Source organism: Homo sapiens, chromosome 18 (genome assembly GCF_000001405.40).
Source record: "Homo sapiens chromosome 18, GRCh38.p14 Primary Assembly".
Taxonomy (NCBI): Eukaryota; Metazoa; Chordata; class Mammalia; order Primates; family Hominidae; genus Homo; species Homo sapiens.
Window position 1 is genome coordinate 55,511,353 of NC_000018.10, and position 17,011 is coordinate 55,528,363.

General features: G+C 35.4%; 1 protein-coding gene across 32 annotated transcripts in view; it reads right to left on the reverse strand.

Moving 5' to 3' along the window:
* The window catches only part of TCF4 (transcription factor 4), a 413,773-nt gene that overhangs the window by 289,168 nt on the left and 107,594 nt on the right, over window positions 1–17,011 (reverse strand). The window lies entirely within an intron of this gene.

Consider the following 17,011-nt stretch of genomic DNA (forward strand, 5'->3'; position numbering starts at 1 on the left):
ATTCTCTGCTGTTTAGGAAGCTGAAAATACTTACCTCTACTATTTTAATAAGGTATATGTTTTCATTCAGTTCCTATACTGGAGTATGGGGAATTTCACATAGCAAAAGTACCAAATCAGCATTAAAACACTGACTTGCAAAAATGGCAACTTTTATTTTACTGGATATACAAATTGTACCAAGTACTTTAACAACAGAGTTCTAAATTCATTCTGGAAGTAAATTATGCTTCAAATCCAGTCAAATACCCTGAGTGATTACAAATTTTTATCTAAATAAATATTTTTTTCAAAACTTAAAATGTATTTGGACCTGACAGTATATTTCTTGGACAAAGAAGTTTTACCTAAACTAAATTATTCCTGATTGAATTGCATTTCTCAATAAAGTTACATGACATAAAGGGAGAAAATTATACACAGTGACAATTTTTTAAAATAATACTCAAAAAGTAAAATAAGACCAACTCTCAACTAATGTAACTTGCACTTAGGCAGACATTCTGGTCCAAAGACAGCAAAAACTGATTTGTGAAATACTAAAAATAATTAATCATTGCTGCAAAGCACTAGATTTGGAGCTAAACTAAATGGCATGTACCATTCACTACAATTCCAGATAACACCTTATTTTACACATGTAATAAGAATCATGAACATGAAAAACGTTCAGTGTCATTAATCCAGAAAATGCCAATTTCTAAAAGAACACAACCAGATACTATGTCGACTACCACGTTAATAAGATAAAAATAATACAAATTGGCACAGCCTTCCTAGATAGCAACTTGGCAAGATACATAAAGAGCCTTTCACCTAATAATTCCCTAGGAAACTATCCTAATAACATCCTTGCAAATGCAGACAAGTGTTTATGTGCAAGGAGTTTAAGATGTGGTCAACAGTTGCAAACTCTTAAAATAAATTATGGAAGATCCATGTGATGGAATATTACGCTGCCTTTAAAAATCACACTTTCAAAACATTCAAGGACATTGGAAAATATTCATGGTAAAATATGAAGTTTAAAAGCAATAAACAAATTTCATGTTATGTTTTTAAAAACCAATGGAAGATAGAATCTACACAGTAATCAAAATATTAACATTGGCTATCTCCACAATGAGGATACGTTACATTTTAATAAAAAATAAAATAAAGGGGTAGGTGTGTGTGTCTATGCATATATGTGTGTATGTGCATATATAGCTGTATATATATGTGTATGGTGTCTATAGACAGATATTTAATTATAGTTTCAAATTTCAAGGATCTCATAGTCTATTATTAAGAATTTATCAAAATCGAGTGGGAGTGGTATATATAGATGAGCCAAGAAGGCAGAATGCTGGTAAATATTGAAACTGTATGATGGTGACACAGAAGATTATTCTACTACTGTGTATACATTGCATGTGTTTAAAAATTTTTCAAAATAAAAAGTTAAAAAAATAATTAAAAGGCAAGAAAAAATACAGTAGCATCATAAGATCAACCTTGAAAGAAATACTGGTACTTCTGAATGAATAGCTAGTAAGATTTCAATAGGCAAAGTAAGTGCTTAAGGGTAGCAGGCAGGATACTGAGCAAATAACACTGAAGAAAGGCAATGACCTTCAGGATCAGGCCAGTGAATAACTGGTAACAAACTCATGGTATCTTACTGCTCCTTCTAGTATTAGATGAAATCCCCTGATAGAAGATAAAGGGGCACCATCTTTTGGATTTCTGTCAGGGTGTAATTCTCCTAATAAGTGGGCATTTCACCTATGCAAATCTTCACCTGGCATGAAGACGATAAAACAGCGTCACTGACTAGTGCTGACTTCAGGTCCCACCCTTGGTCACTGAAGGAAAACTATTCCTTTTACTGGACAGTGATTTCTGCATAATTCCCATGGGTTCTTTATTCTCACTGGACAAAACCTCTCTGAGATCTAGGCATGATGAAGAGTGGAAAACAAAGAGCTCATTTTTAAAACCCTCTACTCATGTCTTATCATTCCTAGCCCTCAGCTTTTTTTTTTTTTTTTACATCAATAGCCCATCTCCATATAAATGTCTAATTTTGCAACACTTTAGGTGCCACAATGACTGTGTGAATGAGTCAGAATATGCATTACCAAATAGTGAAAGAGTGTAGTTTTCCTAACCAATATCTATTTTTGAAAAAAAAATTTTAAAAGCACATTGCTTCTTATAATTTTTCCATAAATATCTAACTACTCTCAAAGCTACCATTTAGACTACAAATGCATCCTTCAGTTTGTTAAAGAAAATTTCCATCACTTGCAACTATAAATTTGGAAAACGCAATAACCTTTAATGGCATACAGGATATGATTTTGCTTTCTCATATTTAAAAAAAAGCTGCTTATTCCTGAAGTAATTTTTCAGAACATATATAATTTGTTTTATAATTTTAAAGCTGATCCCCAATGTTTGATAATTCTCTATCTCTTCTTTCTCTGTGTTACAATCCCAAAATCTTTTAGTTCTCTTTGAAAATACATATGCATTAAAGTTTGAGGCCAGACAGCCAGCATATACTGGTAGTCTCTGTTAAGGCTAATTGAGTTATCATAAACATGCAAATCCCTTTGTATAGAGAAGCCTGGCTTTTCTTTGCCATCTAAGATGAAACTATAATCTATAAAGATAAGCAAAATCTATGTTCTTGATTTGCTTTGCATGTAAATTCTTTCACATAGATAAGCTCTTGACATGTATTCCTCTTCTGAAAGATCAAAGATCATTCTTCAAAAGCCAGGTTTCTCTCCTATCTTCCATCTCTTCTCAGATTTCTACTGTATCTTTTCCCCATGGCTAATGTTCTCTGAAGAGAACCAAATTAATGAACACTGACATTCTTCATACCTATTTTAATGGCATCCTGTGGTGACAATGCAATAACAGGACTATTGTGGCATCGAGCAACATGGTCTCCAAGTTTACTTCCTGACAGTGACTCAATCACTGAGCATGTGTTTGAAATATTATGCATTCATGCATGCACATGCACATCCATGAGCATACACACACATCTATCCATGCACACACACACACACACACACACACACACACACACACACACCCCAATCATACCTACCACCATGCTGGTCAGTACCCACAGCCAAGGAAAAGTAAAGGCCTAAAAACTAATCTAGAAGATGTAAACGTGGTAACAGTTAATTCAAATAAATCATTAAATATAAAAATTTAAAGAAATACACAGCTGCTGATTATCTCAATTCTTAAACTTTGTTCTTACAGGTTCATCACAATTAAAGCCTCTTCCAAGGTGAACTCTGCTCAGGGCAGCCGCAGCATTTGATTTTTTTTGGACAGAAGCTTTTGGTAAGTAAAAAGCAACCAATAAACTGAGGAAAAACATATGATTTAATAAAAGGAGCACACGTAAAAATATATGGATGCACAAAGCAATTGATGTATATTATTTACTCTTTTTTTACAATATTTATAGAATAGTACAATTTTTATATAATGCATACATCATCTGATTATGAATAATACATGTGTAATATATGGTTTATTACTATTAAAATTATTACCATATAATGGTAATTGAATTTGTGCCAGGCATAATGCTAAGCAATTAATAAACATGCTCATTTGATCCTGCCCCACTCTATAAAGACCTATAATATTACTTTCTTAAGGATGAAAATAACTTCAGCAAGATTAGGAAATTTGCCTAATTTCAGAGGAAAACACATAAACGTAAAGCCATAAGACAGTTACCTGTTCTTGTTCAGCCCTGTATCCCAACACTTAATGTAAAGATGGAGAAACAAAGTTAAAAGACCTAAGAAAGTCAGGCAAGTAGATGAGAGAGAAAAAAGTCAGAGAATCCAAGGTAGGAAAACAACCCAGAGTATAAAACTCACGGAAAAAAATGGCCTCACCAAGTTAAGTATGGTCACACTCATTTGTTCATTCATCAGGCATGTACTGAGTGTTGACTATGTTCTGGTCACTGAACTACGTGCAGACACATGGCTGGGGTGCAAGTTCTGAAGACATGATCCTGACCACTCCAAAAACTACAGTTCCGTCAGGAAGACTAAGCATCTCAGCAGCTGTGATTGCTGGCATATGCCCCAGCATACAAGAGGACAAGCTGGAGGGACAATCAGATCAGTCTTCTGTGTTAAGAAAAACTCCCATGAAGAGGTAGACATGAGCTGAGTTTTGAAAGAGAGTAGGAGGTATAGAAGAAGGCTGTGTTCCAAAGTCCAACGCTTCAAAGAGGTAAAGCAGTAGAAAGGTCAAAGCCAATCACACATGCTACTGATGACGTTTTGAGGTGGAATCTTCAGAGAGTGTTGTGGAAAGAAGCCAGATCATGGCACATTATATACAGAATGTCGTGTGAGAAAACTTGGCTTGAAAAGGACAGAACAAAATGAAGAGAAAAGTTAGTCTCAAAATTTGGAGGGGGGTGGGCGTATTTAAATTCATCTTTAAATTTAAAAATCCATCTTTAATTTTAAGATAGGAGAAATGAGCATATTAAAATGCTGAAGAGTCAGGAGAGAAGAGGAGGTTGGTGATTCCGGAGAAAGACTCCTGGTGAACATGCCCTTAGATGTAAGAGGATGAAGGTAACAGCTATTGAGACTAGCAAATATAGACTTGATTAAAAAGTCAGATTGGGTTTAAAAGAAGTTTCCAGAAAATGGTGGTGGTGGTGTGTATGTGATAAAAGACAAATTCCAAAGGTGTGTGTAACAGCGATCATTCAGTGATGACTTACGGAGACAGGGCTGTAGATGGAAAAGATGACTGGACGTGAGTTTGGAAGTCTTGTTTGTTTATTTTCTAACTGTTACCTTGAACAAGTCATTTAACCTCAACCTCAGTATCCCTGACTCTTAAACAGGGATGACAGTTCACTTAACTTTTTCTATGACATATCTGAAAGCACAGAAATTGGTTCATGGAAAATGCTCACTAAATCTTAGTTTGGTCTTATCTAAATCTAAAATAATATACTGTCTGGTTTTTTGGGTTTTTTTTTAAAGGTTTATAAGCAAAATGAAGGGAAAGCTACAGCTTCCCATTAGGTGAACCCAACCAGAAGACTGAGAGAACGAGAGAAAGGCAGTCTGATTATGCAACTGTAGAAGGTTAGCCTCTTGAGACACAGAGCAGGATGGAGAGTGATCCGGAGGCCTGGATGGAGAAAAACTAAGTAGGAAACACGATGGTGAGCATTAGAAGAGGAAATGACTGTAATCTTCAAGAGTGTGGTCAGGGAAGGCTTTCTGATATGACATTTGAGTGAAGAGAGAGATGAAGGACCCAACTATGGAGAACCTGAGTCAAGTGTTCCTAACAGAAAGGATAACAAATGTGAAGACCCTGAGGTGGGAGCTTGCATGGTGCATTTGCAGAACACTAAGAAAGAGTGTGGCTGGTGTAGAGTGGGAGAGAAAGCAAATGATATCACAGAGGTACCAGGGAAGCCACATACCATTTTAAGGTCTTTGGCTTTAACTAAATAAGGTGTAAGGTCAATGAAGTGTTCTGAGAAGAGGAGGAATAACATCTGAATTATGTTTTAAAGATCACTGCTCCATTAAAAAACAGACTAAGGTCAAGGGCTAAAGCAGGCAGTCCAGTTAGCAGACTATTACCAGAGTGCTACAAAGTCCTAGCAACAGAGGTTAGGAAAAGTGGTTGAATTCTTAAAAGTCAGAACCTTGTGGGAAACGGTTATAATAAGAGCTCCTAATGAATAACACCATCCTTCACCCATGATTTTGTGGAGTTTCTTAGCACCCTGATACTGGACTATGCCACATGACACGCTTTGACCAATGGAGTATCTGCAAGCATGATGTAAGCAGAGACTTAAAAAGTGCTTACTCATTTGATCTTGCTCTTTTGTGCGGCTGGGTGATTTTCTACCATGATGTGAAGAACCCTGAGCTATCCTCTGGAGGCCTAAACCACATGGAACAGAAGTGAGCCAATTCAGTTGATGGCTCCCTAAACCAACCAGGCCCTCCTGTCCACCCGCCATCAGACTGTATCCTCATGAGTGACCACCATTGACATCAACAAGAGAACCAACTGGCTGAGCTCAGTCCAAGCAGGTAAACTACATACAGATTTGTGTGCCAATAAAATGGTTATTGTTTTAAATCACTAAGTTTGGGGAATGTTTGCTATGCAGCGATAGATAATAAATATAAGCTAACAACATTTAGGAAGACTTTAAATGTACAATATAAGAGAAAATGGAGATATGAATAATTCCCTAGAGGTTAAGTCTGAGAAATGAAAAAACTAAAGGTGTCTTCAAATGAGATGGGAAGGCTGAGGAAGAAAGTAAATCAAATGTAAAACCCAGAGGATTTATAAACATCCTCAGTGCAAGCAAAGCTACATATACTTCTGTTTAGGTATAAGCAGTAAAGCAATGGTGACTCCTCAGACACACACAGCAGCTCCAATCAGGGAAGTGTGAGAGTCCAGGCCCTTGCTGGTTAGAGCTTTCTCCATCTCTCTTCTGTTTGACCTTGCATTTCAATTTTTGCCATGACCAAGAAATTGAAAGTAACAAAAATTACAATAAATAATCATTTATGTAAGTTTTCATATATCCATTATTCTCCAAATAATACTTTTTGCACAGTAACTTTTCTGCCCATCATTTATCCTAAATGATTACATGAATTAATGGCCTACCGTTAAGTACTTATTGAAACACCTTGAATGCCTGCTTCAAGATTTAGATCTTGAAACTAGCTGTGGTCTTTATATGCAAAATCTCTAATGACTTCTAGAATGCATGGAGTTTATCTTCCTTACATTCCCAGCAATATGATGATTTGCTGTCTGTTATATAAAATGTTTAAATATTTATAGCTAATATGAATTCATCAGGTACAGTTAAGTAGAGCAAATTTAGTTCTATGAAACTACACAATTTCACAGAAACAAAATTTCAAAGACTCTATCAAGAAGCTATAAAAACTGCATATTAGAAAATAGAAACAAAAATGAAAAAACGTGTGCAAAGATACAGAAATAACCAAAATCACCAAATATGTAGGAGAGACTTAAGTAAATGATGGTAAGTCTAACAGTTTAACACTGGTCATTAAAAAATTCAGAATGTAAACTATTGGAAAACATATTCTGTATATGAAAAAATGACACAGAAAAAGAACACAAAAGTATGTAAGCACTGAATAAGAATGTTTTAATTGCTTTTGATCATCCAACAAAAATTTTTTTAACCGTGAGATAACACATGTGAAGCAAGGATGAATAACCCAGAAATATGAAAATTGTGTGAATATATACGAAGGGACACAGACAAAAATCAGTTTATCAGTAACATAACAGTGTTTTTAAAAAGTCATTGGAGGATTTTTTGCTGTAAATCTGTTTAAGTGTATAAAATCTGAAAGAGAATAAAGAAGTGTGACGGGGTCCTTGTATTTTTTTGTGTGTTTTCTCACAATTATCCAACATTTTAACAAGCAGAGGTGTCACGATAGCATCTTGAAAAGTAAGATTTAGTTCCCTATATTCTTACATATTTACACATATCCAAGCATGCCACACAAAAAAGAACATTCAACCCAAACTCACCAGACTATTATCTGAATGTCACTAGTCAATGCTCTTCAATAGTCTTCAGCACAAAGAGGGAAAAATAGGTGGAAACAGGACATTATGAAAGTAAATTACATAAGCAACATTAGCAACAACATAAGACTCCCAACAGGATCATGAATCTTAAAAAGTTAAGACATGTTCTGGCCAGGCGTGCTGGCTCATGCCTTAATCCCAAAACTTTGGGAGGCCCAAGGCATGCAGATCACTTGAGCCTGGGAGTTCGAGACCAGCCTGGGCAACATTGTGAAACCATGTCTCTACAAAAAAATACAAAAATTAGCCATGCATGGTGGCCCACACCTGTATTCCCAGCTACTCAGGAGGCTGAGGTAGGAGGATTGCTTAAGCCAGGCAGGTCAAGGCTGCAGTGTGCCCTGATGGTACCACTGCACTTCAGCATGGGCAACAGAGTGAGACCCCGTCTCAAAAAAAGAAAAAAAAAAAAAAAGATGTGTTCTAATGTTGAGAAACCATTGTACCAACTGTCCCCATTTCCTCAGCTGTCAAACAGATGGGATCTGAATCTCTCTCAGAGATACTTTGGCAAATTTGAGAAATATAATAAAAATAATTATTTCAGAGCCTAAAATAAAGCCTATGTAAATTCATAATATGGAGCATTGACCAGCCATAAGACAGAACTGTGCTACTGTGCACACAACTCACTTACATGCTGAATTGAGATACTCTAGGACCTTCACATTCTTCCTGCATTTCCCTGCTTAGCATATGTGTAACTTCATCTATGGTTCATTAGCAGTAGTCTTCATTGATGTCATGAATAAAGAACCCAAGAAAATCCAGGTAAGTGTCATTTCCCAACTGCAAAAGCAAGTTGTTGAAAGTACTCCATAAAAAATATAAAGTACGAACTGTGGTTGCTAAATGATTCTAAAAAGAAGAAAATGAAGCACTTCACTTCTTTCTTCACACTTTAGCAGGGAATTGAAAATTCAGTTTAGTGCTATAAGAATCTTCTCATCCCTCCACCTTCCCATCCCCTGAAGACCTCCCCACACCCAGTACACAAATACACTCATCAACAATTGAAAGCAATGCCATAAATGAATAATTCAAATTGATTAAGCTACCTAAAATGAATTTTTATTTCCATTGAGGAATAATAATTTTCCTAGAAATTCTCTGTTCAATATAAGGCCAATGATAGCATAAGAATGTCTCTAGGAATCAATTTATTCTTTCAAATTTTGACCTTTAGAAGACCAAATCAAAGCAGTATCTTATCATCTCGGCATTGATAAAGTACTGTAAAATAAAGCTTGTCTATAAACGCATTGAGTCACTTAAATAAAAAGCAATATGTTTCACTTCTTCAGCTATATAAATATAGATATGTATATATAAAAACAAGTATCATCCCACATCCACATATATATGGCATGTGCACATGGGAAGGATCGATGATGTTTATAGATGTCTATATGTATTTATATAGAGATATACATAGGCTCCCAAGCAAAATGTTCGTTGTTTTTAAATTCTCTGATTTTTGTTGGTAACAGTTATTTCTTGTTAACCACATAGTAAATATGAGACTATCACATTATGTAAACCATGCAAAGCTGATTGAGTTACATTTTTCCCTGAAAAACATATTCTGTGAATTTATAAATGAAGATGCAACTTTTGAACCGGAACACACGGCTTTATTTATGAGCAAAGAACTGGTTAAAGAAAATGTGATCATACAGAAAGGGCAATGGGCAGGTTAAGGAGAAAATACCAAGGGAAAGCCTGCCATTCATTAGGCAGGAATCATAACAGAATTGTCTGACATTGCTCCACAGTTTTATTCCTATTACCAGTTAACCATAAAATTTATGTAGAAAGATTTCACTGTGAAATCAGTGTTCCTTAAGCCACTATAGGCTTGTGACATTTTTTTCTTTCAGCCTATTCGTCGCAATTCAGAGTCTAATTATCCAGTTTGTGAAATACCTAGGCCTTGGTATCTTTTCCTTTTCTCAAATTTCTTATATGGCTTCTGCACTATGTCTTTGTGATAAGGCTGAGGGGGGTCAGAAAAATGGTGACATTCCTATCAACCAGCATTGCTACTTACTAGGAATTCTGGAAGCGAGTTTATTTGGAAAGACTGAAACAGCTGTCTAACAATTTTCCCCCAGAAACAAAAATAAATGGAATTATCGTTTCCTAACAATAGATTATACATCATGCAAAAATTATGACAAATCGGATTCAAGTAGGAGTATTTTTAGCATGAAAATAACTTTCTTCAAACAGTTATAGTAATAAAAAATAATGAACTTAACTCATTACCTTAAAAGCATGTTATGTAAATGTTATCTTCTAGCTTCTAATAAAGAATAACACTTTGATTTACATTTCATGCACTGCAATGACCTTCAATAGAGATGTCAATAAGCCTCTTTACTGCTTTACAACACCAAAAGCAAACTGTACACATTAAGTCAAATCTCATAATGCAAAACCTTCTTTCTCCCATGTGTTTGCTACCTACATTATACGTTATCCTCCCAAGAAAATCACACCAGAACTGTCGGCTTACTCTCACCTGAACTTTATTTCTCCAGCTTCCCCACAGTGAGTTGACTGATAAAGGCCATGTGCCTTCTGCAAGGCCATCCACCATTGCTCTAAAAAGTGCAGGTTACTTTAATAACCCTTTTACCTTTGATAGAGTATGACATACACAGCACTTATCAGATGCAATTAGGTTTATAATAAATATCTAGACAGAAAATTTGCTTAAGACACGAGTCCTCAGGATTTGTCATCCTCTTTCTAAAGTCTCATTTTTAAAGGGAGTTTTTAGAAAGCTAACTAACTACTGGAAGACCGCTGCCTTCCTGAACCAGTATGGTTGGATGTGTGGCTTAAACAACATACATTTACAGTCCTCTGGCTTTAGACTTGAGAAGAAGCACCCATGAACAGTCGGATGGAAACAGCTACCATCCCCACGGCTGGGGAAACAGGGAAGCGGTTGGGTTTCCAGAGCCTGTAAGCTCAGAGAGACGTGATGAGGAAGAGACACCAGCAGACTGGGGCTGTTATCTCCAAGGAGGTTAATTTTAGGAATGTAGACAAAACTAAAAACTGGAAAAGACTGATGTTACCAGAGTGATGATAACAAGAACAGGAAAGGCCAAGTTCTTCCTCCTCTAGCCTTCTACTCTCCCTCCAGCGCCTCCTATTGGTAGAGGCTGACATGGAGACCAGCATACCTCTTTACAAAATATATGTAGTTAGCCTCAACATCACAGAATATATTAAGAAAGGCAGATTTGCAGCGTCCTAAAGTTTAACATGTTAAAAACTGTGTAGTGAGAAAAAAATCTGCACAATAAAATATAGGGAAATATGTACTCATAATTCAGAGGGAAATTATACTTTGAAAAACATTTTCACCCTATAAAAAATACAAGTGGAGTCTAGAAAACATCACATTTGACAGTTATATAAAATAGAATATTTCTATAAAATAGGTGTCAACACAAAAGATTTGTGAAGAGATGTAAAAGCAGATGGATGTAATAGGAAATATTGTAAGAAAACTAAAAATGCATTAACAAAATTAAAATTTGCATAAAATTGTAGAAAAATTGTCACTGATGTAGACGACAAACTTGAAAAGTTCTCTTACAATAATACATGGAAAAAAAGAGATAATAATAAAAGAGGGAGTACTGAAGATCAAAGATGAAAATATCTACCATAAACACACAGTCATCATGAATCGCTTATGCATGAGAAACATGTATTATTTTGTGGGAGTGTTTAACACATCTTTCTAGGTTCAAAAGAGATCTAGTTAAGAAAAAACTTTAAAAACTGAAAAGCAAATTAAAATGTACACTACAGAAAATAAGCCACATTTCCAACTATTACAAATATAAAAATAAATCTCATCTGAAATACTGAGAAATTCCTAAAATATCATTTGTTGGGACACTAAGAGTATAAGAAATTTTAAGACACAGAAAATACACTGTTTCTTTACTGGCCACACTTTAATAAAACTAGAAAACAGTTATGAAAATTTTAAAAGCTAAACTTGATAATCTCTTTGAAATTTAAATGAGAGTTCAAGTTAGCTATTGTATTAAAAGGAAAAAACTGCCAAAATAACTTCAGAAACTAGTAACACAGAGAATATTACATTATCAACAAAACTTATGGAATGCAGCCAAATTTTTACACAATACAAATTCATGATCTGGAACATAAGAGTGAAATAATTTAACTCAACAGTCAATTTAAGGAAAATGACTTCTATAAAACTGACCCAAGAAAACAAAGGAATAACAAATGTTTAATGAATTAATAAATTAGAAAACAGAAAAACCATAGTAGTTAAATAAATTCAGGAAACACTACAGCACACATAACCCTGGCAGGTCTTATCAGTTTTTTAAAAATGCAAATACAAAAAAAGAAAAAGAAAAATATATAACAATAAGTATGAATTTATTTAAATAATCTAAAATTGCATACATATTTTAAATTGTATGTATATGTGTACAGATATAAAGACTACCACCAGGCAATACAATCAACTGTTACAGTACTTAACTAATAAGAGGGAATTTTTGACTTTCCCTTTTTATTTTTTCACTATTTGCTAAATGTTCTGCAATACATAGTATCTCTTTTACAATTTTTTTAAAAAAATAGCCCAGGCAATACAATCGACTGTTACAGTACTGAACTAATAAGAGGGAATTTTTGACTTTCCCTTTTTATTTTTTCACTATTTGCTAAATGTTCTGCAATACATAGTATCTCCTTTACAATTTTTTTAAAAAAATAGCTTGAAGGGAAAGGATTTTTCTGTGATGTTCATGCCAGACAAATAAGAAAATTTTAGTTCACACAGATTTAAAATGAAAAATACCACCAATATTCCAATTGTTCTAGTACCAAAACTAAAAGTCAATTATTTTCATGAAACTATCTGCAAACTTACACTTAAATATTCACTGAAAATTTAGAAGGTATTGCCGAAATCAATCTTTCCAACATGCAGATTTAATAATTTTTAATATTTACATAGAAAAGGTCAGGCATGTTATTTTGCTGCCTCTACAGTGTGAATAGACCTAAATGAGGTTTCCTGATATCGGATTGAGTATACAGAAGAAAAATGATTAGTTCTCTTTATAAAATATGTAGAACAGGCAGCTCTTCTACTAGATCACGTCCTGTTGGTCAAGAATGTTTTTCTGCAAGACTCAGATATATTGTTACTATATGGTATTCATTAATAACCACCTTATTAATCAAATCTTACATTTGTGCTGAGTGTATATTCTTCAAGATGCTTTCATACACATTATCTAATTCAATTTAAAAAAAAAACTATGAGTTAACTAGGTCAGAAGTAGAATAAAAACATTCTTCAAACATTAGACTTATAATGGTGTTTCATGAAAAACCAAAGGTATCTTGCTAATCATTTTCAGATATTCTTCAAGTGTTCTTTTCTTTAAATGAGCCTTTCATGGTCAAGAAGACCATGATTATTGATTAAGTAATCAATATTGATTAAGTTATTGATTAAGTAAATCTGATAAATCTGTATAAAAATACAAAGGCAGTCCCCTTCATCATTACAAAATAAAAATCTATTGATGAAGGACTATCCCAAGAAGTATGCTAACCACCCCTTAGGCTAGTTCTGCCTCTCAGCTGGATTTTATACATCCCAAGCACTACTGTGGTGGTCATTTGGCAACTGAAGGCCAGAGAATAATTTCCCATCTGGTGTGCTGCTCTGAGTATCCCATTCAAGGCCTAGTCTCTAGAAGTTTAAGAATAAAAAGTAACCAAAGAACTGGGAACAATGGTCAATTATCTAATTAGCATTTCAAAAGACAGTGATAAAAAGGAATAATACTCTGAGGCCCACAACTCAAATGAACAGCTGTGTGTGACAAGATCAGTTCATTAAGGCTTCAGAAGTTTTCCAAGCCCATCCTAGGTCTTCCTCCATCTCTGGCTTCCTACTTCTAAGCATGTGTATGCCTTTCTTCTAGCTACCCACCATATCCCCTTTCCCCCTCTCTCTCCTATCTTACTCTAATCAGCCCCCTTTAATTTCCTATAAAGCTAGCTTTCTTAACTACTATATCAGATTTAGGTACAGTTTTAAATGTCTCCTGTGTTTTTTTCACATGCCATGTTCCAATCAATTCTAAATCAAGTGAGTTTACATTTTGAATCAAAAAAAAAAAAATCTCAATTACATGACATCGCTTCTTCATTCCACGTAACCTTTGATTGATTTTTTTTTCCTGAAGGTTAATGACTCTCTATAAAGAAAAATACTCTTCTACCCATAATGAAGAAATACCACACTCTAAATCAAAGACCAGGTAGAGAGACTCCCATTTCCTCAATTTTATTTTGTTGCTTAGTAGTAGAGAAAAGTAAATTCGAGGGCCATATTTGTGGTAGAAATCTGAAATGTACTATCATCTTCTCCAGTATAATCCTGCAAAATACAATTAACCCCATTTTATAGATTTGAAAATGAGACACAGTAAAGTTAAATAATTCATTAAAAACTGAGTTTCAAACCCAGCTGTCTTAGGCACAAGAGGCAAAAGAGGTCCCTCAACTGTGCTACCTTCCTATTAAAATACATGATTAAAAAGGCTATCACTAGTTAGATTAACAGTGAACCCAATTTCCACACCTCTGGCCCAAAACTTGCACATGTAGCAAATGACGCCGATTTACACAGAAATGGAATAACTCAGTTCATTTCCGCCTTGCCCTCGGCGGAACCTAGGTGCTGGATATCCATGTGGGCTTCTCTCTACAATAAGGCTTACCCCAGTTTCATGGAAGAAGAAAGAGAAATGAGGCAAAAGAAAACAAGGTGGTAGTCATTATTACTGATAATAATTCTCTGGAAACACACTTTCTTGAAGATACAATAAAATTACCATCAACACCCTTGAGCTGCCAGTCTCTATTCTTAGTGTGTGTGCTTTACAGATACCAGCATTGACATCAGGCATCAGGTAGCCACTTATAACATTTCAGACATCCTTATCAACTTACAATATTTGTGTGTGTCATCAGTAGCTATGTGCCATCTTTGAAGTTCCACTGGACTCAACAATGTATTTACAGAACCACAAAGGGGAGAGAAATGTGCCCCACTTCAGGAAACAAAAACAAAAAATGTACTCTACTGCTCACATCACACTTGCCTATCTAAAAAGGGTTTAGAACTTCACCCTTCACACATTCAGAAACATCACCATAATCCAAACCATTAATATCCAGTGCATAACCCAGAGGTCTCTATAATATACTATGGATATGTATAGCCTTATCTGGAAATACTCTTTAATTGAACCTTTGTTCATTCATAACCAATAACAGTTCTTACATTATTGGTGATTTCTAACATCTTCTCGAGTCTAAGATATTCTAAGAGTACATAGATAACAAGAGATCTAGCAGAGGTTACTCCAGTAAAGGTTACTCTGGCTTCTCATGCTTGGCACTTATTTTACCTCTGACACCACATGGGGCAAGATTAGTTTTGGGAAATTCTTTGTCTATGGAAGGCTCAAGGATTGATCCCAGGAAATGTTCTGTTCCACAGACAGCAGAAGGATTTTTAATCCAGAATCCTTGCAGCAATCCTGAGAAAAGGCACTGTGAACCCTTGGGCCCCTTTCATTACTCTGAGATGCTTTAAGGCTTTCAGATTATTTACCAACACCAGGCAAAGTCTATGGCCAGATCTAACCCTCAACTGGATCCTAATTGATTTTTCCAGGCAGTGTGCCTTAACCTTTGCTGGGTCACAAAATCCTCTTGCTACCCAGATAAGCTCCACAGATGCTTTCTCCCAAACATAAAGGGGTATATATACATTTACAGACACCTCTCTCCATGAATTCTAAGTCAAAACTCCTGGTCCAGGCTCAATCCACCAAGATGTTAGAACCAACCTATCCCAGGGAGTCTGGACAGATATTTTTCACTCTAGAAGCGTAAGCAAGGCAAAATTGTGCACCACTTAGACAAGTGTTCCTGTAAACAATAAAGAAAGGAGGAGATAGGTGAAAATAGTAACCTCACGCATCTGTGCTTCCCTCTGCCAAGAAGTCTGCAAAGCCCACCACAAAGGTCCCCTCACTCTAGCCCGCATCCTTAAGGCAACACTGACCCCATAACAAACATCGCCTTCACATACATGTCTACAAAACTGCAACGGCAGACTTACCACCATCGTGGTGGGTCAAAGAGAGGTTCATCTAAATCAGGTGAGCAGAGGGAGGGACTGTAACAGCTATCTGGAAGAGTCTTTGTCCTGTGATAAAATCCACCCATTACTGTTTCCTCTCCAGAAAGAAAAATAGTAAGGAATTGTTTATATGCATACAAGCACGTTTCTCAATGAATAGGAAATACGGAGGAAGCAGACCAAAAATTCACATCCCTGGTTCTTCTAAGGCCTTGTAACTACCATAGATCATTGGAATTCATCATTTTCTTGGTGCAGATTCAACAAGGTGACATGTCAAACACACAGAGACAAAATGCACGAGGTATTTTTTCTCTAAATATTCAAGGTACCAGCAATTAAAAAGCATAACACCACGTGCATGATAAGCTCTCAATAAATACAGGCTGAATGAATGAGATATCAAAGTTATTGAAAAAGAGAGTTCTTTTTAGGAAACCGATGTATATCCAACTTGAAAATCCAAGAATTTTTTTTAGATTGGCCTCCCCCAAGATTTTCAATTGCCAAGATAAAATTAAAACTGGTAAACAACAAGAGGAAGTTATGAAAAGTGGTCAAAAACGTATTTTCTGTTATAAAAAAATGTTTTAAGTATAGACACACCCTAGGAGCAAACCAATTGCACTGAGCCTGAACTAATTAAGCTCCTACAGTCCACAGCCAATTTGGGAGAAAAAGAAGCCAGAGCTAAGATATTTGTACCTACTTGAAGGTAACCTTGAAACTCTTTTGTTGAATCTTTAGAAAAAATTTGTTACACACAAAAAAAACCAAAAGTGTATGACCGTATGATTCTAATTAGCAGAGAGTGAGAGGGTTAAAGTTGAAAAATCTGTCATAGAAGACTGCTATTTCTCCTACCACTGCAACTTCAAGAGCACAGAACTGGTTTCTCCATGATCTGGAAGCTGCACGATATTCTCTGGACACTTAAAGAACAAATAATTTAGAGGATGGCTATGTTTAAGATCTTAGGTATCTAATGTTTGGTAAGTAATTTGGTGGGGGTAAGAAAATCAATTTCATTTAATAAAAATGAAGTCTAGAACTTCACCCTTCACACATTCAGAAACATCA